The 22,765-nt window shown below is 39.0% G+C and overlaps 1 protein-coding gene across 20 annotated transcripts in view; it reads left to right on the top strand.

Annotated features, from left to right (window-relative positions):
* GLIS3 (GLIS family zinc finger 3) overlaps nucleotides 1-22,765 on the top strand; it is a 666,339-nt gene that overhangs the window by 361,622 nt on the left and 281,952 nt on the right. For 17 of the 20 annotated variants that reach the window (XR_007061257.1, XM_047422890.1, XM_011517763.3 and 14 more), the window contains 2 exons: nucleotides 2,903-3,110; nucleotides 9,963-11,076. Coding sequence is in view for 19 of the 20 variants with exons in the window: in XM_047422890.1 (XP_047278846.1) it covers nucleotides 2,903-3,110; nucleotides 9,963-11,076 (1,322 nt within the window). In the remaining variant the exon portion in view is untranslated. The remainder of the gene's footprint in view (nucleotides 1-2,902; nucleotides 3,111-9,962; nucleotides 11,077-22,765) is intronic. The other 3 variants (NM_001438912.1, NM_001438911.1, NM_001438916.1) reach the window with 1 other exon arrangement.

The raw sequence follows: 22,765 nt of genomic DNA, 5'->3' as shown, positions 1-22,765 counted from the left end.
AAGAATGTGGAGATACTAGGGAGATAATTAGCATTTCTTTATTACAAAGCAAGAAAACAATGTGAATGTATGAATCCAGAGTAGAGAGTTACAGAGGCAGCCTTGACCAGTGTAAAATTCTGGCCCAGGAAGATGGATTTATAATTACTACCCCCACTGACTTCATATTCCATTCAGATCTAGTTAGCAATTATGTGGAGAGACATCAAAGGATTGACTTGGAGTTTTTTTGTTTCTGCTTTTTGAAAAATGGTACTGTATATCATCAACAAAGATGACCAGGAGAGTTTCAGTGGAATAACTTGTCAGTATTTAATATTCACTTATAAGTATCTTTTGTTTTCTTTCATTCATTCTAATTTCACTGGATAGACTTTATTATGTAATGTGCATTAGACCCTAGGTTAGGTGCTAAGGAAGTAGAGATGCTTCAAACAAGAGCTTTGTCTTTAAACAGCAGTGAAGTATAAAAGTGAGAAGATGGCAGGCATGTAAAGAGTTTAGTTCCCTGAAGCACTATAGGTGCTGAGGCACATGTGTGATGGGAGATGTGGACAAATGAAAGAAGCAGTGGTCAGATCTGCCTAACAGGTAGTGGAGGAGGAGGTCATATAGGAGGTGACCCTTGCATTGAGACCTTAAAGATGCAGAGGTGCTCACTAGGTGGATAAGTTAGGGTAAGGGCATTCCAGGCAAAGAGAAGAGCATGAACAAGATAAGGGTTAAAATAAATGTTTCAGTGATCACATTAGTTTGTATTGGCTCTAAGGTGTGCATGTTTTTACATTACAACATCTCTGAAATCTGGACATCATGCACTAGTTGGACTGGCAGTTCATGTTCTTACTGGTACGTAAAATAATGGTACACCTTACAATATGTGCCATTTTAGTTTTATGAAATAATCTATTGGTATGTTTTGCCATCAAGTAGTATTCCTTGGATGCTGTTCCAGCTGCTATATCTTTGTTTTAGAGGTAGATAGATATTAATACCTTTTTTCTGAAAAGGAAATAGGCATGGAATGACTGAGTTCCTTAGATAAATATATGACATTAAATTTGACAGAATACTTGATAATTGATGTTGCTTTTAATAATAGTGGCTAGTAGCAATGGGACCTGGGGAAAGAATTCATATAGAGAATTCATTCATTCAGTCTTATATACTGGACTAGGCTATGAACCATCACATTGCCTTTTTTTCAAGGTAAAAAGGGAATATGAAAAGCTAATGCATGTAGCTTATTGAGATTTTTAAAGATATTGAATTTATGATGCAGTTACATAAAAGTGTACCTACTATTCTTGGTGTCAAGATGAAGCCCGGATAATACAGTGCTTTATGAGTTACGAAAACAGAATATCTATAACTGATCTTTTAAGGCACAAGAAGATGGATCAGATATAAACTGCAATGGGAGGGGTCAAGGAGAGGTTCTGGTTTATGTATCTGGGAAAGAAAATCAGAGAAATTTCTTTTGGAGCAAATGATCTTGGAAAGTGTACAAGGAAGAAACTAGGCATATCAGAGCCTAAATTTAAGCACACAGGTGTCATAAAAATACATTCTCGTAGAATCAGTTTCTGTTCTCCCTTTAAATCCCTGTGTGATTTTGTGCAGGTCAATTACCACTTGGATTTTAGTGTCCCATAAGTCTGCACTAGACCAGGATTCCTGGCAGCTAATGATGCTGTGACTCCCCCAGCATTTTTGAGATAGGGCTGCACTGATGGAAACAGTGACTGCTCCAATGTCTTGTTTGTTCTATTGTTTTGGGGGGCTCTTGGGAAGAATGTTACAAAAGATGACAAAGGCACTTTTGGGCTATTGATTTAATTTTGGGGAAAACAAAATAGGAAATTATGACCCCTACAGCTAAGAAAAGTGACAGTGACACTTTTCTTCCTACTTCGATCCCAAATATATCAATGAAAAAGATGGGAAATTTGCAATGTAAAGCTTAATTTGTTAAAGATTGAGATCGTATATATTTTTGTTTGCTAGAAATGGGAACAGAGTGTATAGTTACTGAGACTTGACCAGGTAGTTGACAAAAAAAGTTTGAAAAAGTGCATCCATGTAAAAAGAATGTCTAGAATGATTCAGCTCATTATGATTTTTTTATAAATGAGTCATGGCAGTGTTTGCCTTTCTCAAACTCTTTGCTTTTCACTTTTCCATAACGACACAGATTCTTGTGGGTTCCTTTTTTTCTTTCCCCTTTGGGTATGTACCAGCTTTTACTACACTGAAAGATTGTTACTAATGAAAATGAAAAATCTATGTCCAATTTGGTTACCATGCTGTTTTTCAAATGAGCATTTTGTTTACAACTCTCTCATCCTGATATTTTAAAAAATTGAGTAGATGTCCAATGACAATGTGTTGAGATGAGGAGAAAAAAAATCAAGAGTAGAGAGACACAGCCAGACTACATCCTTGTGAAGGGACTTTTTGGAAGTACAGATTTGGAATGAAGTAAACCAGTTAAACAGGTTTTTTCCAGTAGTGTCAACTTTCCTTGCTGGGTGATTCAAGATATTAGCTATTCTAGGAAAAAACTTGGTTTGATACAGGCAATCCCATCTACTTACCACCTTAACCCTTTAGGTAAGGATATTATAAAATATGATTTTTAATATAACTGGACACTTCTACATAGAAGGAGTAAAATTTAAGCACATTTTGTATGAGTGCTGATTATGGAAAGGTTTCTATTATAGCGTTATGGCTTTGTCATTGGAATTGGAGAAAGCCTTTTGCTATCACCAATACTAAAAAAAAAAATGATCTGAGGACTGTCTCTAAAGATGGGTCCTGATATAAGCGTGCACATGTCTGTATTTACTGATTTCTGATGTAAGGGACATGAAAGCTAACCTGATTCATTTGTTTTTAGGGGCTCTTGGCTTTGGGCCTCAGTGCAAGTCCATTGGAAAAGGCAGCTGCAACAATCTAGTGGTCACCAGCAGTCCCATGATGGTTCAGCGACTGGGACTCATTTCACCTCCAGCAAGCCAGGTCTCTACAGCATGCAACCAGATCAGTCCTAGCTTACAGAGGGCAATGAATGCAGCCAACCTGAATATACCTCCTTCAGATACCAGGTCTCAAGTTAACTTTTTTTTCCCCTTTCTTTATGGTATAAACACACCCCACAAGTGTTTTCCGTTCTCTTTCTGAATACACACACACACACACACACACTCATACACTTACACACTCAAGCAACTCTCTCAATTTGAGGTTTGTAGGGGAATATGTCTAAAACTAAGTATGTGCCATCTTATCATCTTAATTGGGAGGAATGCTTTAATACCTACTGTCTTGTGGTGTGAGTGACATGAATACCTAATTTGAGATTGTGGGGCCTCAGTGACTGAAACACGGTGTGTAAATTTGTCAATTTCTGGTGAAGCAATCATATCATGGCCTAGCAAATTTGCATGGTCCATGTACACCTATCTTACCTGCCAGGTTTTCTATGAATATGATGCAGAGTTTCCAGGCAGCTCAACAATCTGTCTTGTCCATCTGTGCATCCATCCAGCTACCCATCTACTTAAATATTTGTTAAGTTCCTACTGTCTGCATAATATAATAGTTGAAGTTTAGGGGCCTAGTAGAGAGAGTAAAGATAGAAAGCATAAATTTTAAGACTTTATGATGTGTCTGGAAAGGCATACTTTTGTGTTTGAGTTACATAACATTTCAACACAATGTCGATTAGGTTCCATAGTAAGTAGGTACTATAAATGCCATGTGTCTATCTCCAAGGGAGGGAATTGAATAGAAAAGGGAAATCACCCCCTCAGACAAAGCTTTATCTCTCTCAAGGTTGATATTAGGTGGGAGGGGGCATAAAGCCAAAATACTGTACAGTGTTTAAGGTCTGTGTCTATGTTTGAAATAAATTATTTTATCTTCTAGAAGTTATTTTCTTGGAAAAACACAATCCACAGTTTCTGCCTTAGTCCTAGTTCTGCCATAACTATGGTCTTGCAAAGGAATTTTACTCTCTAAGCCCCTGCTTCCTCTTCTTTAGGATCTGTAACCTGCTATGTGCCTTGCAGTTCTGAGGTCTTGTGTCTTCTTCCTTTCCTTCCTCCTAATCCTGTTCTCCCCTCTTGTATCTCTGTGCTGTCCCTCCTAGTCACTATTTGAGACTCTGAAATCATAGTTCCTGAATCATTTATTTATGCCAATTTTTTCATGAGATAGAAACTTGTTTTTCACCTGAGACTTTTTGTGATGGGAAGCTGCTGTCATTTTCCCATTGATGATTATGCCTTAAGGGACTTCTCAGACTTGCTGAGTGCTGCATGTAAAATGAACTGTGCTCATGGGGTGGGTGTCATTGGGAAGCCTTCAGCTTCCTTTCTGTGGCAAGTCCAGCCCATGCCTTGAAGGCAGAAGTATAATTAACGGTGAAACTGACAGTAGTCAGGGCACAGACTGCTTAAGCCATGTATCTTATGCAGTCCCTTTTATGGGTCGGCCAGAGAGGGGTCATTATCTCATTGTTTTCTGGCATATTTGATTCCTTAGCATAATTTTATAACCTTAAAAGACAACACCTTAACGATTCACTGACAAGTGTTTTTGACTATGTATTTATTATTTGAGTCCTTCTATGGAATTTTTTTTTTCAGGATGAGCAAAGAAACAGGAATTGGGAATTGCTTGGTGAAATATGGAACTTACTTTTAGCAATTTGGAAAGGTTGCATTTATTTGTGAGCCTTGGTTTGTGTATTTCATCAATGGAGAGAAAGAATAAGGGGCAACAGTTCAATAAGAGGCAAAGTTCAACATTTTACTGGAGATAAAGAGAAGATGGAGAGAGAATCAGCTTAGCGTTTTATACATTGGGGGCATGCTGGGAGTGGATGGAAGTGGAAAAGGGGGCATGAACTGTCCAGTTTGAGAGATGCTGCCCTATGAAAAGCTGCAAAATGTATTGTTTTTCCTGAAGATGTAATTCTTATTCACTGTAGAAAATGTGGAAAACATGGAAAAGTACCAAGCACTAAATGACAGTCATCCTGAATTCTGTCCCCAGAGACGACCATGGGTGGAATTTTGATATACATCCTTCCAGTTATAGTCAAACATATACAATAAACATAGGCTTTCCTTTCCACTAAATTGATCTAGTAATCTACATAGTTTTTAATTACTTTTTTCCAGTTAATATATTATAAGCTTTTATAATAAAAGCCTCTTTCAACATCATATAATGGCTTCTTCCTGTCCAGGATTCCACTTTATAAAGAAAGTGTATAAATAAAATTATAATTTTAAAAATTAGTCTTTTGTTAGTTGGCACTTAGTTGTTTCCCATTCTTTAAAAATTATAAATAATGCTTTATTGGATCAGCTCTGTACATCTTTTGTTGCACAATTCTGATTATTAGAATAAATTCTTAAAAGTAAAATTTGTTGTGTTAAAAGAGTTTTGAGGCTTTTTATACATATTCTCAAACTGTACTGCAGGAACTCACTAGCAATTTATAAACTAACCAGCAGTCCAAGAGAGTGCCTGTTTTCTAATACACCATTCATTACTAGGTATTATTATTTTTAGAACTTTTACTAGTTTAGAAACTTTGCCAGTTTGATCTGTAAAATGTTATTTTATCTTAATTTGCATTCTTAATTATTGACAATATTAAAGTTTTCATAAATAAATCTATGAAGTTTCATAGATTTATTGGCTGTTTGTATTTTTTCTTTTGACCTCCTTTGGGTATGTTTTTTGGGTGTGCTCATCTTGGGGAAAAGCTCTTTTTCCTTAGCTTTGTTGGATTCTATTTAATCCAATAATAAGAATCCTGCCTTAAGGCTATATATTTGCCTAGATTAATTTCCCAACCATTTCTGATTACCTGTGCTTAATGATAAATGCAAACTATACCTTACCGTCTTGAAGATCCAGGAGTCATTCTCGATTTAGGCCTTGCCAAAACTCGAATACAGAGGCCATTGTATATATTTCCCCTAAAATGACAAGGCTGAGGTGCTGATACAGTAACATCATACAGCAGTTTCATAGAGCAGTCTAACAAACATTGAGTAGTAGAAGAAACATTCTACTCAGATGCCACCTGCATGGCTTTGGTAGCATACTTAGCTTTTCTAGTGTTTTCACATGCATTGTAATCCTGCATTTTATGATTGAATTTTCATAAACTACCTGCAAATATTTCTGTTTAAGACCCGATGGAACCAGGACACAGAAAGTCCAAGTGCTTAGCTTGTCAGTGACAAAGTTCAGCCATCACCGAATGTCATTCCAGATCCAAAAAGGCACTGTATTTAGATTTTTATTTCCTAAATCAGAAATTCTTGGTGATGGTTTCCTTTGAGAGTATATCCACAAAGGTCAGAGAAGGCTAAGGGGGTTGAGGATGCACTCCAGGCTCTCTGTAAATTGTAACAGTTTATAAAGCCATCCTGTCTTTAGATACAGTACTAATTCTTTTAGGGGATTTGCTGAGGCACATAGACACGAATTTCCAGATAGACTAGGACTGGCCGTCTTTTTCATGATCTACATATATAGGGAATATATTTTTTCTTTTGAGGAATTCTCCATGTGATGTATTAGAACTTCTTTTGAGCTTGACATTGAAGCAAACATCTAACATGGTCATCATGCCTCTCATGCTCTTATGGCCCCATACAAGTTACTGAGTTCTTGGTTAACCAGCCACCCTAATCATTTTTGCTGATGGTTTCTGAGTTTTCCTATTAGTTTTATTTTGTTCAAGATATATCTCCTTTCCTTTTACATATAGTTCCAAATTAACCAATCACCAGAAGTAATATCAGTAGGATCAGATGAGCATATGGAAATGGAGATTGCTCTCAAATAATGATACAGCTGTCACTTTCTTTGCTGTGGGCCTCGTGTGGGTAGCAGCAGGAGTTAGAGGCCAGAATCCTTTGGAACCATTCACATTCATTCAACATATTATTGCAGGAAGAACAGAAAATTTGGGTGCCCATCGTAGCTTGTGTGACTTTAAGCCTGTTATACCAGGTCTTTCAATTAAGCAGAGCATTGTGGGTGACATGTGGGATACAATGTAAAGAAAACAATAGAGAATGTGTATGATCCAGTAGGTCACTGCCTATCAAGCACAGCTTCACTTGTATTTCTCTAAGAACTTTGGGGTGTGTGTGTGTGTGTGTGTGTGTGTGTGTGTGTGTGTGTGTCACTGGGAGAAATTTCCCAAACCCTGTTTTATTCTTTGTAAAATAGAAGTTATTTTTAAAATCCAGTTTACTTAACTGACAGGTTGTATCAAATGAGATCATATATAGGGAAAATGCTTTGTGAGTGCCATAAATAATGTTCTGTTGTCACTATATTGATTACTTATTTACTTTCCTAATCAACAGTTTTTTGAGTACTTAGTATGTATCTTACATTCTGGCAGGCACTGGGAAGATAAAAATGATCCCTTCTGTTAAAAGACTTTGAAATTTATTGAAGAATATAACACCCACAGATGCCTGAAGTTAACTACATTTAAGACACATTGCAGACAGTATATAACTTCTTTGGGAAGAGAACTTCCACTGGGAGCTAGTGTACTGGGGAGAGATGTCATGGATTAGAGCTTTGAAAGATTAAAAGATCTGAGTAATCACACAGGAGGAAGACTGGCTGCTAGGCAAAGGCCATTTGGGGAAGTTTTGTTCTCATTAGGTGTTTGAGATAGAAGAGAGTTCTCTGTTCATATTAATACTTTAATGAATAGAATATAGAATTTGCTTTCTGAAAAATATATAATTGTCTTAGAAAACTCAGATGCCCAAAAAGTTATATAATGTGCCTGCATGGCTTTATGTGCAGATTTTGATTGAGCCATATTTAAGTATAATTTGAGAGAAATAAGAATCATCTCTCAACAGTGGAGCAAATGAACGTTTCACTATAGGCTGCCCTGAAACCAAATAATACAATTTTATAAGCAAAGTATATATAGGTGGATAACATACTTCTGTCTGTTAGTCATGACTTAACAATCTAATATGCTCCAGTATGACAGTGACAGGCAATTGTAGCACCTGAGAATGTGCATCCATTCAGGCATGTAGCTCTGCCAAAGCTCTGGTTCTTTATGTTCTATGAACCTTCTCAACCTGCGGGTGTAAAGCAGTCAGTTGTCTCTGTCTCATATACGATAGGACTACTAATTTAGTTTGGGTCCGAAAGCAATTCCTCGATCTTGCTGGGGAAGAGACCAAAAGGCCCTTGACATCCAATCACCAGGAGCCTTCAGCTGAGCTCTGCAGGAAGAGCCACATGCTGCAAGTGTGCTGGGAAAATAATTGAAAAGTGTCCGTGGGGAATTAAAAACTAGATGGTTCCAGAACCACTGTGGAGGTTGCAAAAAGACTACAACCCGAATTTAAGGATGTGGACCAAGAGGAAAATCTATGTCAAGGGCAACTGGATGTAAATTCCTGCTGTGTTTGTCTTTGGTAAACATTACTTCACTCGATGGTAACATCTCGTTGATGATGGTGTTATCACCTTGTACTGTGCATTTTGGAGCTGAGATGTTTTTCTTGCTAATATCATATGCTTGTATGAAATGGTGTTTGTGGCCTCCATTTTGTGAAACAGAGTAAGATGAACAGGTGGGATGAAAATGCTTCTTTTACCTCAGTTCCTTTGAGACAGGTTGATGTTTAACAGCTGGAAACAATGTGTTCATTTTGAGAAGACACGTTTTATATAACGTTTTGTTGTGATTAATTTTTTGTCAGTAAAAAAGACTTCAGTAGAAAGTCAATGCAGGTACATATAATAAGCCAGGTTCTTCTGATACACACCATGTCTGAGTCAAGAAATACAGCGTGTTATGTCTTGCCTCTGTGGCAAATTTTCCTTCCAAGGGACGTATCTTTTCTTCTCAATTATTTTCACACTTAAAGTTAGCCAAAAGATCAAGAAGTGATTTTTATTTTCAAGGCAACAATGTCACAGTAAAGCAAAATGAATTTTAAAGTGACCAGAGCTACATTATGAACCATTTTGATATGCAGATAATATATTGTGAGACATAGGGTGTGTTTGTAAAGGGTAAGAAGAATAGGAGAGGAATTGTTGCAAAAGTCAATTACAGAAAGTGAACGATCTGCTCTTGGCCCAAAGCTGCTTGGATTTAAGGACGAGAGTTCACAGAAAACCCAACTAGCAAGTGTGATTAAATCCCGAATGGCTCTAATGCATAATTCCAGATATGACTTGTTATCAGTTTGTTACTCCCTTATATATTATAGCTGCTTTTTATATTGTTTTCATTTTCTGGGGTGATTTGATGTAACTAATTACTGGCAATGTGAATTACTATCTTTAAAAAAATCAGAGTAATTCCTTAATATCAGTGAAACTAAATTGTGAAATTATTAAGTCCCCTGGACAACCCTTTGACTTTGAGGATTTACTTTTTTTCAAATAAAGCATGAGTTTATATGTTACTTTCCCAAATAGATTTTACTTGAAGGCTGAGATTCTGCAAAGCCTGTCATAACATGCTGCACATAGTAGGTGCTCAACAAATACTTATTTGGTTGGCTTTGACAGGTATCAGTAATTTTTCCCAGGTCTCTATCCTTTTTCCCCCATATTGAAAAAGTTATTTAAAAATAAAGCAAGGACTATTTATTACTCAAGTATTAAGATTATTTATAACAATAGATCTTTTGTTACATTATTTCAGTGAGCATTAGGTTTTATTGTTCTTCTTGGTAAAATGTTATTTACCTGGAACTGGAAGCCTTGGATTTTATCTTAGCCCAAGAATGTGTGTTTAGCACAGAATGTAATTAGGGGAAATACTTAAGGGATTGTCAATGCAGTGTTCTTTTAGCTCTTAAGCAATCCGTATCCTGCTAAAATGTTTATCTTTTTTTTTTCTTCCTTTCTGGCTGCTGTTCCAGGTCCCTTATTTCGCGTGAGTCTTTGGCGTCCACGACCTTGAGTCTGACGGAAAGTCAGTCGGCCTCAAGCATGAAGCAGGAGTGGTCCCAGGGCTACAGGGCCCTCCCTTCGCTCTCCAACCACGGCTCTCAGAATGGCCTTGATCTAGGGGATCTCCTTAGCCTTCCTCCCGGGACATCCATGTCCAGCAATAGTGTCTCTAACTCATTACCATCCTACCTTTTTGGCACGGAAAGTAGCCACTCTCCTTACCCTAGTCCTCGGCACTCATCCACCAGGTCCCACTCGGCCCGCTCCAAGAAGAGAGCGCTGTCCTTGTCCCCGCTGTCCGATGGCATCGGGATAGATTTCAATACCATCATCCGCACGTCGCCCACGTCCTTGGTGGCCTACATCAACGGGTCGAGGGCTTCGCCGGCCAACCTGTCCCCGCAGCCGGAGGTCTACGGGCATTTCCTGGGCGTGCGCGGCAGCTGCATTCCCCAGCCGCGCCCGGTGCCCGGCAGCCAGAAGGGCGTGCTGGTGGCCCCTGGAGGCCTGGCGCTGCCGGCCTACGGCGAGGACGGGGCCCTGGAGCACGAGCGCATGCAACAGCTGGAGCACGGCGGCCTGCAGCCAGGCCTGGTCAACCACATGGTGGTGCAGCATGGCCTGCCGGGCCCCGACAGCCAGTCGGCCGGCCTGTTCAAGACCGAACGCCTGGAGGAGTTCCCGGGCAGCACCGTAGACCTACCCCCCGCGCCTCCGCTCCCTCCTCTGCCGCCGCCCCCAGGCCCCCCACCCCCTTACCATGCCCATGCGCACCTTCACCACCCGGAGCTCGGGCCCCACGCCCAGCAGCTGGCCTTGCCCCAGGCCACCCTGGACGACGACGGGGAGATGGACGGCATCGGGGGCAAGCATTGCTGCCGCTGGATCGACTGCAGCGCCCTGTACGACCAGCAGGAGGAGCTCGTGCGGCACATCGAGAAGGTCCACATCGACCAGCGCAAAGGGGAGGACTTCACTTGCTTCTGGGCCGGTTGCCCTCGAAGATACAAGCCCTTCAACGCCCGCTATAAACTGCTGATCCACATGAGAGTCCACTCTGGGGAGAAGCCCAACAAGTGTACGGTGAGTTTCCGAAGCGCAAGGGGTGACCTCTCTTGAAGGCCCGGCTTGCTTTGCGTACGTGTGTTTTTTCCTAACTCGGCCCATGGAGTTTGCATGCGTGGGGGTCTAGGTATCCATGAGATGGGGTTCCCCTTCAGCTTGAGGAAGGGGAAGATTTCTTTCATGGTTAGTGGCTCTCCATTGCTATATTTCCTTCTGCAAAGGTACACGATCCATCCCAGCAGGTGATCAGTCTGCCACACTCTGTAAAATCTTGGAAAGGAGATGCCAGCCAGGTACCAACTTTGAATTTCCTTAATGTGTATGGATGTGCAAGAGCAGAAGGACACAGATTGCACATCAGCAAGCTTTAGTTCTTTTCCAAAGCAAATATGCAGTGACTTTTTCTTCCCTCCAATAACCGGGCTAGAATTGGGATGGAGAGAAGAGTGGTTTTGATATTTGAAAAGGAACTCACCACTTAGCAACTTGGCTAGTAAAAGTGTTTCGGCATGCATCCACATGCCTGCGCTCTGTACCTTCCAGGGTTGAGAGACTAGCTAATGATTTATAGTCGGCATAAAATCACCCAGGGGATACACAGGAGCAGAATCTCACAGGATCCTAACTAATTTTAAGAGGTAATTTTGTAGAGAGATATGAGGAGAAAGAGCAGGGAAGCCTTTGGTGCTGAGGGAAGTGGGCCTGATGTCTCTTTCTTCCTCGCCTCTGCCTTTCACAGCATCCATCCTGGAACTCTCTCTGTTTCTTGGCAAAATTTACTATTTTTGAATAATACGATTCTTAAATGGTTTCACAACAATTTCACACCTCACAGAAACCCTCAGGGTTTATAAACAGGGCATCACCCTTGGGATCACAGGATGGCTTTGCACAATCTCAGACAGCTCACTTAAGTATTGGAAAAAGAAGAACATGTGTTTTATATTAGTTTAGATGGACAGAAATATTTCATTTAAAGTCTAAGATTTCTATATATTCCCTGGATATTGAGTATGGTGCTGGTACTAAATATGTGAAATATATAAATCAATTTAAACAGAAATTTATTTGTACTGTGGTTCCCCAGCCCGAGTTCCTTCTTTCTGTAGTATGTCAGTGATGAAAAAGAATCTGGACTATGTGTATGCTTGATTATAGATTGGCCAAGGTTTCTTATTCATGTAAAAGCAAACCAAACAGGTGATAGCTATAATGCAAGTATTCAAAGCACTTTTTCACTGCCCGGTAGGTATTTTTGAAAGAGTTTTAAGAATGTCTTGTGGAATGGAATTGCATTTCTTGTCACAACGCTATGCACCACATTGTGATTTTTCTCAAGGAAAACCTGAAGCTGATACATTGCGAGAATGCCAGGTTATATGAGTGAAAAGAATAATTACTTTCCAGACAGCAAAACCTTACTCTGTCACTAGGGTTCTGCATTAAAAATGCCACAAAGAAACAAGCAATTGAAGGCAATTCAATTTACTCTGGAACACACCGGCCTATTGCAGGCAGGAAAGACATTCAGCCTCTGAAGGAAAACAGTCCAACCTTTTAGTTCTGACTAATCCTGGCTGAAAATAGTTCACTGGATTTGGCTTTACTGAAATAAACATAAAGGCTCGAATTATCCAGAAAAATATTTTTTGCATTGCAAAATTAATTTTTGTGCAATAGGATTTCCCCATTTTTCTACTGTTGCCAGGCTTTGCAAAGACATATAACTTTTTAAAGTTGATTTTTGCTGAAGTGCACGATAAATATCAAAAATATAAATACTTCAGTGAAAGAATAAGCTGATAGGTTAATGTTCGCAGGCTTATGCATAGCTTCTCATTGTATTGTTCAGAATGGGTATGGGAGATGATTTCTCTTCCTCTGATCTGCCCACTCCCCACTTCTAGGTGGAATCTTTATAAAATTCAGATTGATGATTTAACAGTGTATCGAATCTAGGACCACAAAGCATTTATTTACACATGTAATAGTGCACATAATAAACAGGGTTTCTTAGGAGCTGATTAATGCTGCAATTCTAGTTCTGGGGCTATATATTTTTAGCAGGAAGCCTTCATTTTCTTCTAAAACATACATATTATGGGCATTGTGTCTTCTGAAAACTGTTAGGTTGCTACATTGTCATCTGCTTGATTTGTAGGGTGATAGCCAACTGGCAGCAATTAATTTTGCTGTGAAAGTTTAGCAGTCCTCTTAAGTTGTAATCCACAGATAGAATACCTGGTTTTTAAAGTAGATATGCACCTGGAAAAAAATGTATTTTTCTGCCTTTTGCAAAACACATATTTATAGTCTTGGAGTCCACACACATACAACTGTTACAATTAAAATGTTTCATATCCCACTGACTTCAAATCTGATGGTAGTTGACTGAAAGCTCACGATCCTTGACAAGTAAAATGGCCACATTCTTCTTTTGGAAATGCGAAGTGACCTTTGGTTTTTGTGGCTGTGTCATACACTGCAGGGCTAGGAGCAGTCTAAATGATAAGAGCCGGGCCATTTTTTAGTTTTATATATGTTTAACTGCTATTTTCTGTGTATGATAGAGTTAGTCATTTTCACTTGCTTAGCTTATTGACCCAAGAAAGAAATGATGACCACATTGTGTTTGGTGGCCATGACTACAAGCAACACAAAGAGCTTCTGGAAGTTATGGTAAAATAGGGGTGTGTGAGAGGGCTACTCAGTGACGGCTTGCTTACAGTAAGTGGCTGCCACTGGTATCCTCCCTCATGCCAAATTTCATGTCATGCATGAGAGAACGCATTCTCAGAATCTCTGACCATAACTCCCTGGACTTATCAGAACCCTGGGATTCACATCATTCAGGATTCTGGGTGGCAGAACTGGGGGAGGGCTGTGAATTTATTATTTGGTTAACTTACTGGAAGAAGAGAATGGGTTCTTTTCCTTTTACCCCGACAACTCCACCCTTGTGTAGATCTCTTTCTTATTGCTTCTGTGGAAAGCCCAACCAGCTGCTCTCTTTCCAGGCCTGGCCTCGATTGCAGAGACATTCCCACCCAGTGGCAAAGGGCTTGAGAAGTAAAGGCCTCTGTAGACAGACAGGCAGACCTCAGCTAGTCAGAAACCGGGATATGCCAATATTACATTTTAAAATACCCGACTCCATTCACTGCTATCTATTAACTATAGTACTTTCTAGGTGCTGAATCTCTTTATTTTGACCTTCTGAGCTTAGACCAACTGCAACCTTGGTAAATCTCAGAATTATCAAAATATTTGAGCATTATCAGCTATAACTGTTGAATTCTATTAAGTTTTTCTGAGATGGTAAGGTCACAGGTCAGAACAAGTCATGGAGTCTCTGAATTTGTCCCTTTCCCAAACCCCTGTTTCATGTTCCTAAAAGGACAACATGAAGTATAAACCCAAACAATAGATGTACACTAATCATCCCTAACAATATCCATAGTGAATGGTTCCAACAGAGTGCACCCTGAGAACGTTTGTACTGTAGATCTTTTTACCATCAAGTTGAAGACTGTGCAATGGTTGGGTAACGGTGCCCAGTAAGTGTGTTCTGAATGAGCTTGGGCATGCTCTGTCTGTTGGTGCTTCTCATGAGAAAGGCTGTCTGCCTATCTGGGGCAGAGTGAGTAGAGGGACCCAGGGTTCTGTTGCTAGGATCAGAAACACTGATGACTTGCCTTCACGTACGACTGAAAGCAGTTGTGCTAGCAGGTTGGGGAGTGCTGGTAAGGGAATTGGGGGAACGTGGGCCTCCGCTTAAATTTTGTTTATTTTTCCTGGATGAATTTTATCCAATGGCAAAAAGGAATTGTTCAAAACTTTTACCCACCCATGGATTTTCATGAAAATGTCACTGACCAAAGACCAGTTTTGAATTTTGTATGAATTGACTCATTTCTCCACAGGCATTTTGCCTGGCAAAATCCAGAGTATTTTCTTTGGCTTGAATATTGGGCAGTGGTGCTTTTTAAGTAACATTGGATTATGATTTCAAGAAAATAAATACAGAGCTGGGACCATGTCCCCATTCCTCTTTTGTGGCCTGATGTATGGGTACACAAGCCAGCTTTGGCCTCATAAGACATGTCTTGAGGAAATGTAAATTTATTGTAAGCTGTGGAAGGCCTTTTTCACATTCGCTTTTATTCTGATAAGACTCAGTGTTGATGTGGTCTATGACCAGAGGGACCTTAGGAAAATATCATGTAAGCATAATTCTTAATCCCCACTTCATAATCCTCATATTGGCAATAATGAATAAATTATCATAATACCAAGTATCAATAAGGGTATGGAGAAGTGGATACCCTTTAACGTTGTTGGAGAGACTAAATTGGTGTAACCACTTTGGAGATCAATGTGGTAATACCTAGTAAGGTTGAAGATGAGTCTATCCAATAAAACTGTGTCTAGGTGCCTACCCTAGAGAAGCTTTTGTATATGGTGGCAAGGAGACATGAGAAAAGGTGTTTATTGCTTTTGTTTTTCAAAAAAGTATAAATAACGTAACTGTCCATAGATAAGTCAATAAACCGTGGCTTATTCCTAATGAAATACTATAAAGGAGTTTAAAATTAAAATACGCATATATATATTACATATATATCTATTAACATGGATACATTTCAAAAAACACTGTTGAGTGAAAAAAATATGTGCAAAAGGGTATATATAGTATTAATACAATTTATGTATATTTAAACACAAACCGGGCAATATTATATAGTTCTGGTAGATAAATAATTATGTGATATTTATTTAGATTTATGTAGATAAATAAAATCATGGGGGCAGGGTAACTAGTAATTTTAGGATAGTGGTTACATCTCAAAAGGAAAGAAATAAAAGAGATGGGATGTGAGGGTTTTACTTTCTCTTTTTTTCCAGAGAGAGAACTGAAACAGATATTACCACCTAATGGTGGTAATATAGGTGTCATAGGTGTCTGTTATAGTATTTGGTATACTTTACTGCCTATTTGAAATATTTCATAACTATAAGGATATATTTTATCTAAAAATAAATGAAAGCCAATTACTATCACACTCCAATTTCTTTCCACCCATATCATTTTTTTAGATGAGAACAAAGCCTAGAGAAATTGATCTTTCCACGACTGTTATTTAGCTGTTCCATACTTAGAACTTCTGAGGCTGTAGTTCTTAACCCTGGCTGACACTGGAATCATCCGAAGTACCCGTACCTGGGTCCCATCTTCAAAATTTGTGATGTAATTGGCCTGGGATGCAGCTTCCAAGGTGATTCTAATGAGCAGTCAAGGTTGAGAACAGTATTATAAAAGTTTTCCAGTTCTAACATTAGTGCTAGATAAATAAAAGCCTACCCTGTTACTTCTGTTAAGATGCAGGGATGTAGTGTTTAGTAGAGTACATCTCTACTTATTCTCAATGGCCTGACAGTAATCTCTACATTATTATCAATGTCCTGACAATGATTAGGGTAGTTTAATGTTCTCTTGTAATAAAATTCAGAGACGAGATAAGATATTAGAATGATTGGTAGTGGCAGAAGGCTTTCAACTGAGTGTCCATTTCACATTCAGAGTCTCTTTCTTCACAATTATTAGTCGAAGTTTGGGAGGAGTCTTGTGCTGAACCATGTATACATTGTTGCCACCTCCTTGCCTCCTTGATTTGGCAGTGGAACTGACAAATTTGTCACCCTGTTCCCATTTTTAAAGGTAAGATAGAGTGTTCTCTCTTCCAAACACAATGCAGACTTTCAGCTTTTAATAGAAAATGATCTTCAAAACACTTTTGCTACTATGGACATTTCTGAAGAGTTGGTAAATTACTAAAATATTGAATTTTCTCTTTTATCAAATCTGCCTGATGTGATTAAATAAATAAAATTAACATTAATATCCTCTTTGTCTCTTGAGGCTGAAACACCACCAGTGAACATCTGGTAAAGATCAGAGTGAGTGTAGCTTCCAAGTCATATCCCACAAGGCATCGGTCTGTCAGATATTAAAAGCAAACTCCTTGATTTAAAAAATAAAACCAAATCTTAAGATTTCTTTCCCAGCGATTTTACGTAAGAGATACAAACATATGTATCTGTGTAAGCACATGTTCAACATAGTGTAGACACATATATGTCACCATAAATTACAAATCCCTTAGTATAGGTAAAAGTGAAACCACAGAAATCCTCATTAGATGGGGCATTGACCACAGTCTATAAGGCATCTGTCAAATAGGATTTCATATCCCAAAACACAGTTTAGAAACCTGCCATTTGGTAAAGGTTTAATTTGGTTTCCCTTTAGAAGGCATTTAATTCAGTTTACCTGGGGAACTGACCTTTCATGAACTTTGTCCTTAAAATAAATTCGTAGCAGATTTGGGCAAACATTTCAAAGCTAATCGTGGTTTATGTTTCTTTGCCCTGTGATTCTAGGATGAATGAAAAACAATAGATAATGAGAGCAACCCTAAGAGGTTAAATATTTGAGGCTTTATCCTCATTAAACAAAATCATTAACTACATGATGGTTAATGTTCCTTTTAGTTCATATTTGTTTTGTGTTTTTTCTCTAATTTCATGCCTTGAAATAATGTCTTTAAAATTAGAAAGAATTATGTACATCTTTTCATAAATGATCTGATTAAGGGAATGTATGTCGAACCTTTGGAGATTTGTTTGTATATAGATTCTAAAATGTGTTTTTCTCAGTTCTTTCAGACTGCACCAGTGTGGAAAATTTGTTTGGCAATATATTAGAAACACCCTTTGTGACCTTTGGAATATTTCTTGATTACCTTTTCTTTGAGTGGTCGTGTTGTCATTTTAGGGTCCAGATAGAATTTGAATGTGTAGAGTGAAAGACCAAACACATTTATTTTTCCAAAAAGAAGCGGTCGTCTGATTCTCTTTGATCTTTCAGAAATGTTTTCTTCAAGTTCTGAGTAGAATGATTTGGGAAAGAGATGTTTATTTTTTTTTCCAGGTAGATTTATTAGTTTCTACTGTAATTGCTGAGTCAGGGCTTCTAAGCCATCAATAAGACAATGCTTGTTGTAACCCTGGACAGTGGATCTGTGGTTGGCTAGCCCAGAGCCTGAGTAGGGAAGGCTTGATTTTACGTCTGCTTTAACTCTGGGAAGCCATGTGTCCTTCATCCAGAGGGGAGACCAATCTGTCTAATAGGTGTCATCGCTCATATAGGAGGTTGGCATAGATAGGGGTTTGGTGAGAAAGTGGAATGAAACCTGTGTGTTTTTATTTCACGGCACAGTATTTATTTTCCTTTTCTTGGGCCACAGGTTCTGAGCTTGAGTAGGGAGAATGGTTAATCTGTTAGAAGGAGAATTTTGAATAATTTTTTAAATGATTAGTTTAAAAAGTTGTTGAGAAATTGGAACATGATATAACCAGTTTCTGGGCAGGCAGGAGCAATATGCTTGGGTAAATATATACCCTAATGCTCTACAATTAGGGTGAGCATATACTTTATTTTTCAAATTAGGACACTTTTGAGAGTGAAAGTGAGTTTGTCTCACTGGAATGTCAGTCTAAATCAGGATTGTCCTGGAAAAAATTAGGGTATATAATTACCTTACCCAAATAGTATGTGTACTGATGTGTTCACTCATTGTGTGTTGATTCATTCGTTTGATCACTGAGTGCAAGCCATGTACCATACCTTACCCGGGGGATACAGAAATAAATGAGACATTCCCTTTGGGAGCTCACAATCTATTGGGGTGACAGTTGTGTAAACAGTAAAACAAGGGCTGTGATATACAGCTATGCAAACTTTTAATGGGAAAACTAGGGGAAGAAGCTCTCAAGTATGCCTGTAGAGTTTGGGCAGGCTTGTTAGAGGAGGTAACTGCATCCTGAAAGAAGACAGTAATTCTTACAGAGAAAGTAAAGGAGGCCATTTAAACCTGCACAGCACCATATGAAATAGCACAGGAGTATGAAAGAGCACAGAGGAAGAAACAATTCTCAAGTAGTTTGATGGTCCAAGACTAGGTAGGAGTGGAAGTGAGGCTGGAGGAAGTCATGAAGGACTTACACTACCAAATAGGGATCATGTTTAGGAATTGGAAACCTAGTTAATATAAATGCAAATCTAGTCAATAAAAAATATCTTAGGAGGGTAGCATCACTGAGGTAGCAAGCACTGTGTTTCAGTGGATGTGAAATGAAACTTTGACTTCCCCAGGTCTTCTCCATTATCTCTTAAAGTTTATAGTTTAATTCCTCATTAAAACATATCTCTTGGCAGCTATCATATGAAACACACATTTATCTTATGCCAAGTGATCAGCTAGGGAAACACGTAAATGTAGACTAGCATGAAAGCATTTTCTGTTGCAGACTTTAAAGAAAACAATTAAAAATCTGGGGAAGACTAGAGACCAAAGTTATTTGATCAGTTATGTAGAATGATTAAGATGTGGACAGAGGCTGCATACATTATCCTGTGTATGAGTAGCTTTCCATTAGTTAAATATTTCCTTTTATAATCTGTAAAGAGAGTGAAGTATTGTACTGTTAAACAAAGGTTTGGACTGGTGCTCATTATGCTGAGCTTGTCAGCCTTTTCAAGATTTTTTTCCTTCACTGCTGAGATTTACTTTGACATTTTTTTTTTCTGCTCAGACTAAATTAATACAGAACAGAGTGAAATGCTTGAGCTGTTTAGAGGAGAACAAATTAAATCAATTCCCATCAAAATGGCACCCATTCCCAGTGACTCAGTCCTGAACACCATAGAACCCCATGTCTCTCTAGACCGGGGAAGGCAGCATGAAAGGAAGACTTGCCTTTTGTTACTTGAGCTTCTTTCTCTGGCAGCACGAGCCCTCCCCTGGGGTTTGAGCCACCCAAGGTTGTAGAGTCATTTGTCTGTTGACCGGAGAGCACAGCTGAAGGCCCAGGTCAGTGGACTCAGGCATTCAGAATGTTCTAGAGAGGGCATCTGATTGGTCCTGGATCCTTGCTTTTAAAATTTATGAGGCAGATTCTCAGGCTTCTCTCACCAGACAGTTATCTTTTCTGTGTTTTAGAATGTTTGTTTGAAAGTGGTTTCATTTTTAAATAGGGGCCTGGGTATTGGGCCTGTTGCTTGTGTTTTTGGTGAGATATATTGTCACTGCTGACTCTTTTTTGTCACTCTCTTTCCACATCCCTCGTCCCAGTGGCTAGTATGAAAATTGCCCAGAAAAGCAAATGGTGATTTATTAGCCAAGAGAATGGATTTGGGGTTGGGAGAACAGTTGTAATGAAGCGGAAATGGAGGACTCAGCCTTAAACAAAATTCTGAAATAGAAATCTGTCTTTCATCTCATTTGTGGTGACCCCTACTACCTTCTTCCCTCAGAGTTTCCATGCTGCTTCACAGGCCCCATGCCTTGCTCCTTATTTTTGCTCTCCATCGAATTGAGGCTTGCTTTTGGGAAAGAACTGTGGGAAAGAGAAATTCATATATATAATGGTGAACAGCTGAGAAAAGATTCAGTGTGCTGGCTCTCCCAAGGGTATCTACATTTTAACGAGAAAGAAAGTATTAAACCTCTTCCTTAGACCAAAAACTCTTTCAGAGAAATGGAGGTGAAAGAAAGTGACTATGTTACAGAAATTCTGAGCTACTATATTACTTTAATTCTCACTATCACCCTCAGAGCTAAGTAATTTCTGGGATTTGAGATTCAGACTCTCTTCTTCCTACTACATATTCAAAGATCATTAATTATTCACCTTTGAGTCCTAACCATAGCACGTGGCTCAACGATTAACATACTGTAGACCTCAAATGTGCACACATGCATGCACACACACACACACTTGAAGCTAGATGATGGATACGTAGAGGTTTATTATTCTGTTATTTGCACTGTGTGAAGATTTGAAATTTCCCATAATAAAATGTTAAAAATAAAGAAATAAAATGGTTTTGAGTGAATTCATAGGAAAGAAAAGAACAGTTTGTTGTCTCTGGCTCCTCAGAAAATGATGCCAGCCATGTTTTTTTTTTTTTAGGTAACCTGTGTTCTTCTGATCTGAAAACAAATTAATTTTTCCATTGCTCTGGATTGTCTCTGAGATCACTGTGCTTAGGAATGAGATGAAAGATACTCTTGGGCAGTAACATGATATTTAAAGAGGCAAATGATAAGAAGTGAATACTATTGCAATGCATTAAAATAATTTAACCCAAATCTCAGCGGCTTGCTATGATAAGAGTTTATTTCTTGTTTTTGTTCTAATATGGCTAACTCCTTATGATTGTATAGTGACTCAGGATCCTTCAATCTAATGGCTCTGCAATCTGAGTCTAGGGTGAAAGACATGTTGTTGAGGATTGTGGAGAGGTTTTAGGATCCAGGCATGGAAGTGACAGGCTTGACTTCTCTTATCCCATTCGGCAGCACTCAGTCACATGACCTCAACTAACTGCAAGGGCAGTTGGAAAAAGAGTGGTCTTCCTGTGTGTCCAGGAGGACACTTAAACACCGAGTATTGGTGAACACAGAGTATAGTATCTGCCACAAGGAACTAGAAGTGCCCCCTGCTTCTTCTCTGACTTACCTCAGTTTTCTATATCTCCTTGAAAAGAAAACACATTTCAATCTTGATCTTGGAGCTTTCCATGAGTGGCGACCTGGTCTCATCAAAGAGCTTTAAAGACCATTTATTTTTTTTCTTTCCAGTGCTGGCTCCTATAACTTGCTTTTCAACTTATTAAATCTTTCCCAGCCCAACCATTTTTTTTCTTATTGACTCTCCAAGGATTCCATTGCCATACAATCACCACTGCTGGGAAAATGCTCCCTATCTCAAGTGGATTACTCAGTTTTTCCCACCTTGTCCAAATTACATGTTCTTGGGGCACAATTCCCCGCTGCTCGTCATCTTTCTAAGCCGTGAGTGTGTGTGATGTCTTCATGTCCCACAGGCACTTACCCTTAAGGGAGATCTGCTCATTATCAAGGGCAAGGTTATAGATGAATCACTGAGAGTTCTACCATTGTGCACAGAAATTTGGTGTGAAGGGCTATTTTACTAAGACCCTGAAACACAATATTCCCCATCTGTTCATAAAGTAGCTTATTTGATACACACAATGTGGTCATAAATGCTCTTCTATTCTCTGAATGCTTGCTTTTGGTCATGAACTGGCACACACTCAAGGAAAAAATGACAATGTGCCTCTATGGACACTTTTGGTCCATTTCCATAAATATATTCAAACAAAATGAAATTGCCTGGCTCTTTATAATATGTCCTTTAGTGTGTTTAAGCTTGCAAAATTACCCCCAAGGATGACAAATTGTAAACATCATGCAATACCACAGCCCTGGGTCAAGGCCTGTCTCAGTGTTCTACCGGCATTCGCCCTTCTTAGAAACGTTTAAAGTGTTTTAGGAAAATGAAGCTAGGCAAACAAGCTTATCAGGAGCGACAATAAAAAAAAATCATTGATTCTAATTAGGAGGCGTCACGTATACAGAAACAAAGCTGCTTTTGTGTAATGAAAACTCTACCTGTTCTCTGAAACACATGGAGTGCTTTCCAGTGGCTTTAGATAATCACGCTGACAAAGTTTCAGGGCCCTGACCTTTTGGCCCATCTCAAGTGATTCAGCAGTGCTTGTCGAAACTTGTCTAAGGTGTTGGTGGAAGGTGTACTGGGATACAAGTTGTTATAAAGG

Source organism: Homo sapiens, chromosome 9 (genome assembly GCF_000001405.40).
Source record: "Homo sapiens chromosome 9, GRCh38.p14 Primary Assembly".
Classification (NCBI taxonomy): Eukaryota; Metazoa; Chordata; class Mammalia; order Primates; family Hominidae; genus Homo; species Homo sapiens.
Note: the sequence above shows the minus strand (reverse complement) of the source record. Positions and strands in the feature narration are given on the sequence as shown.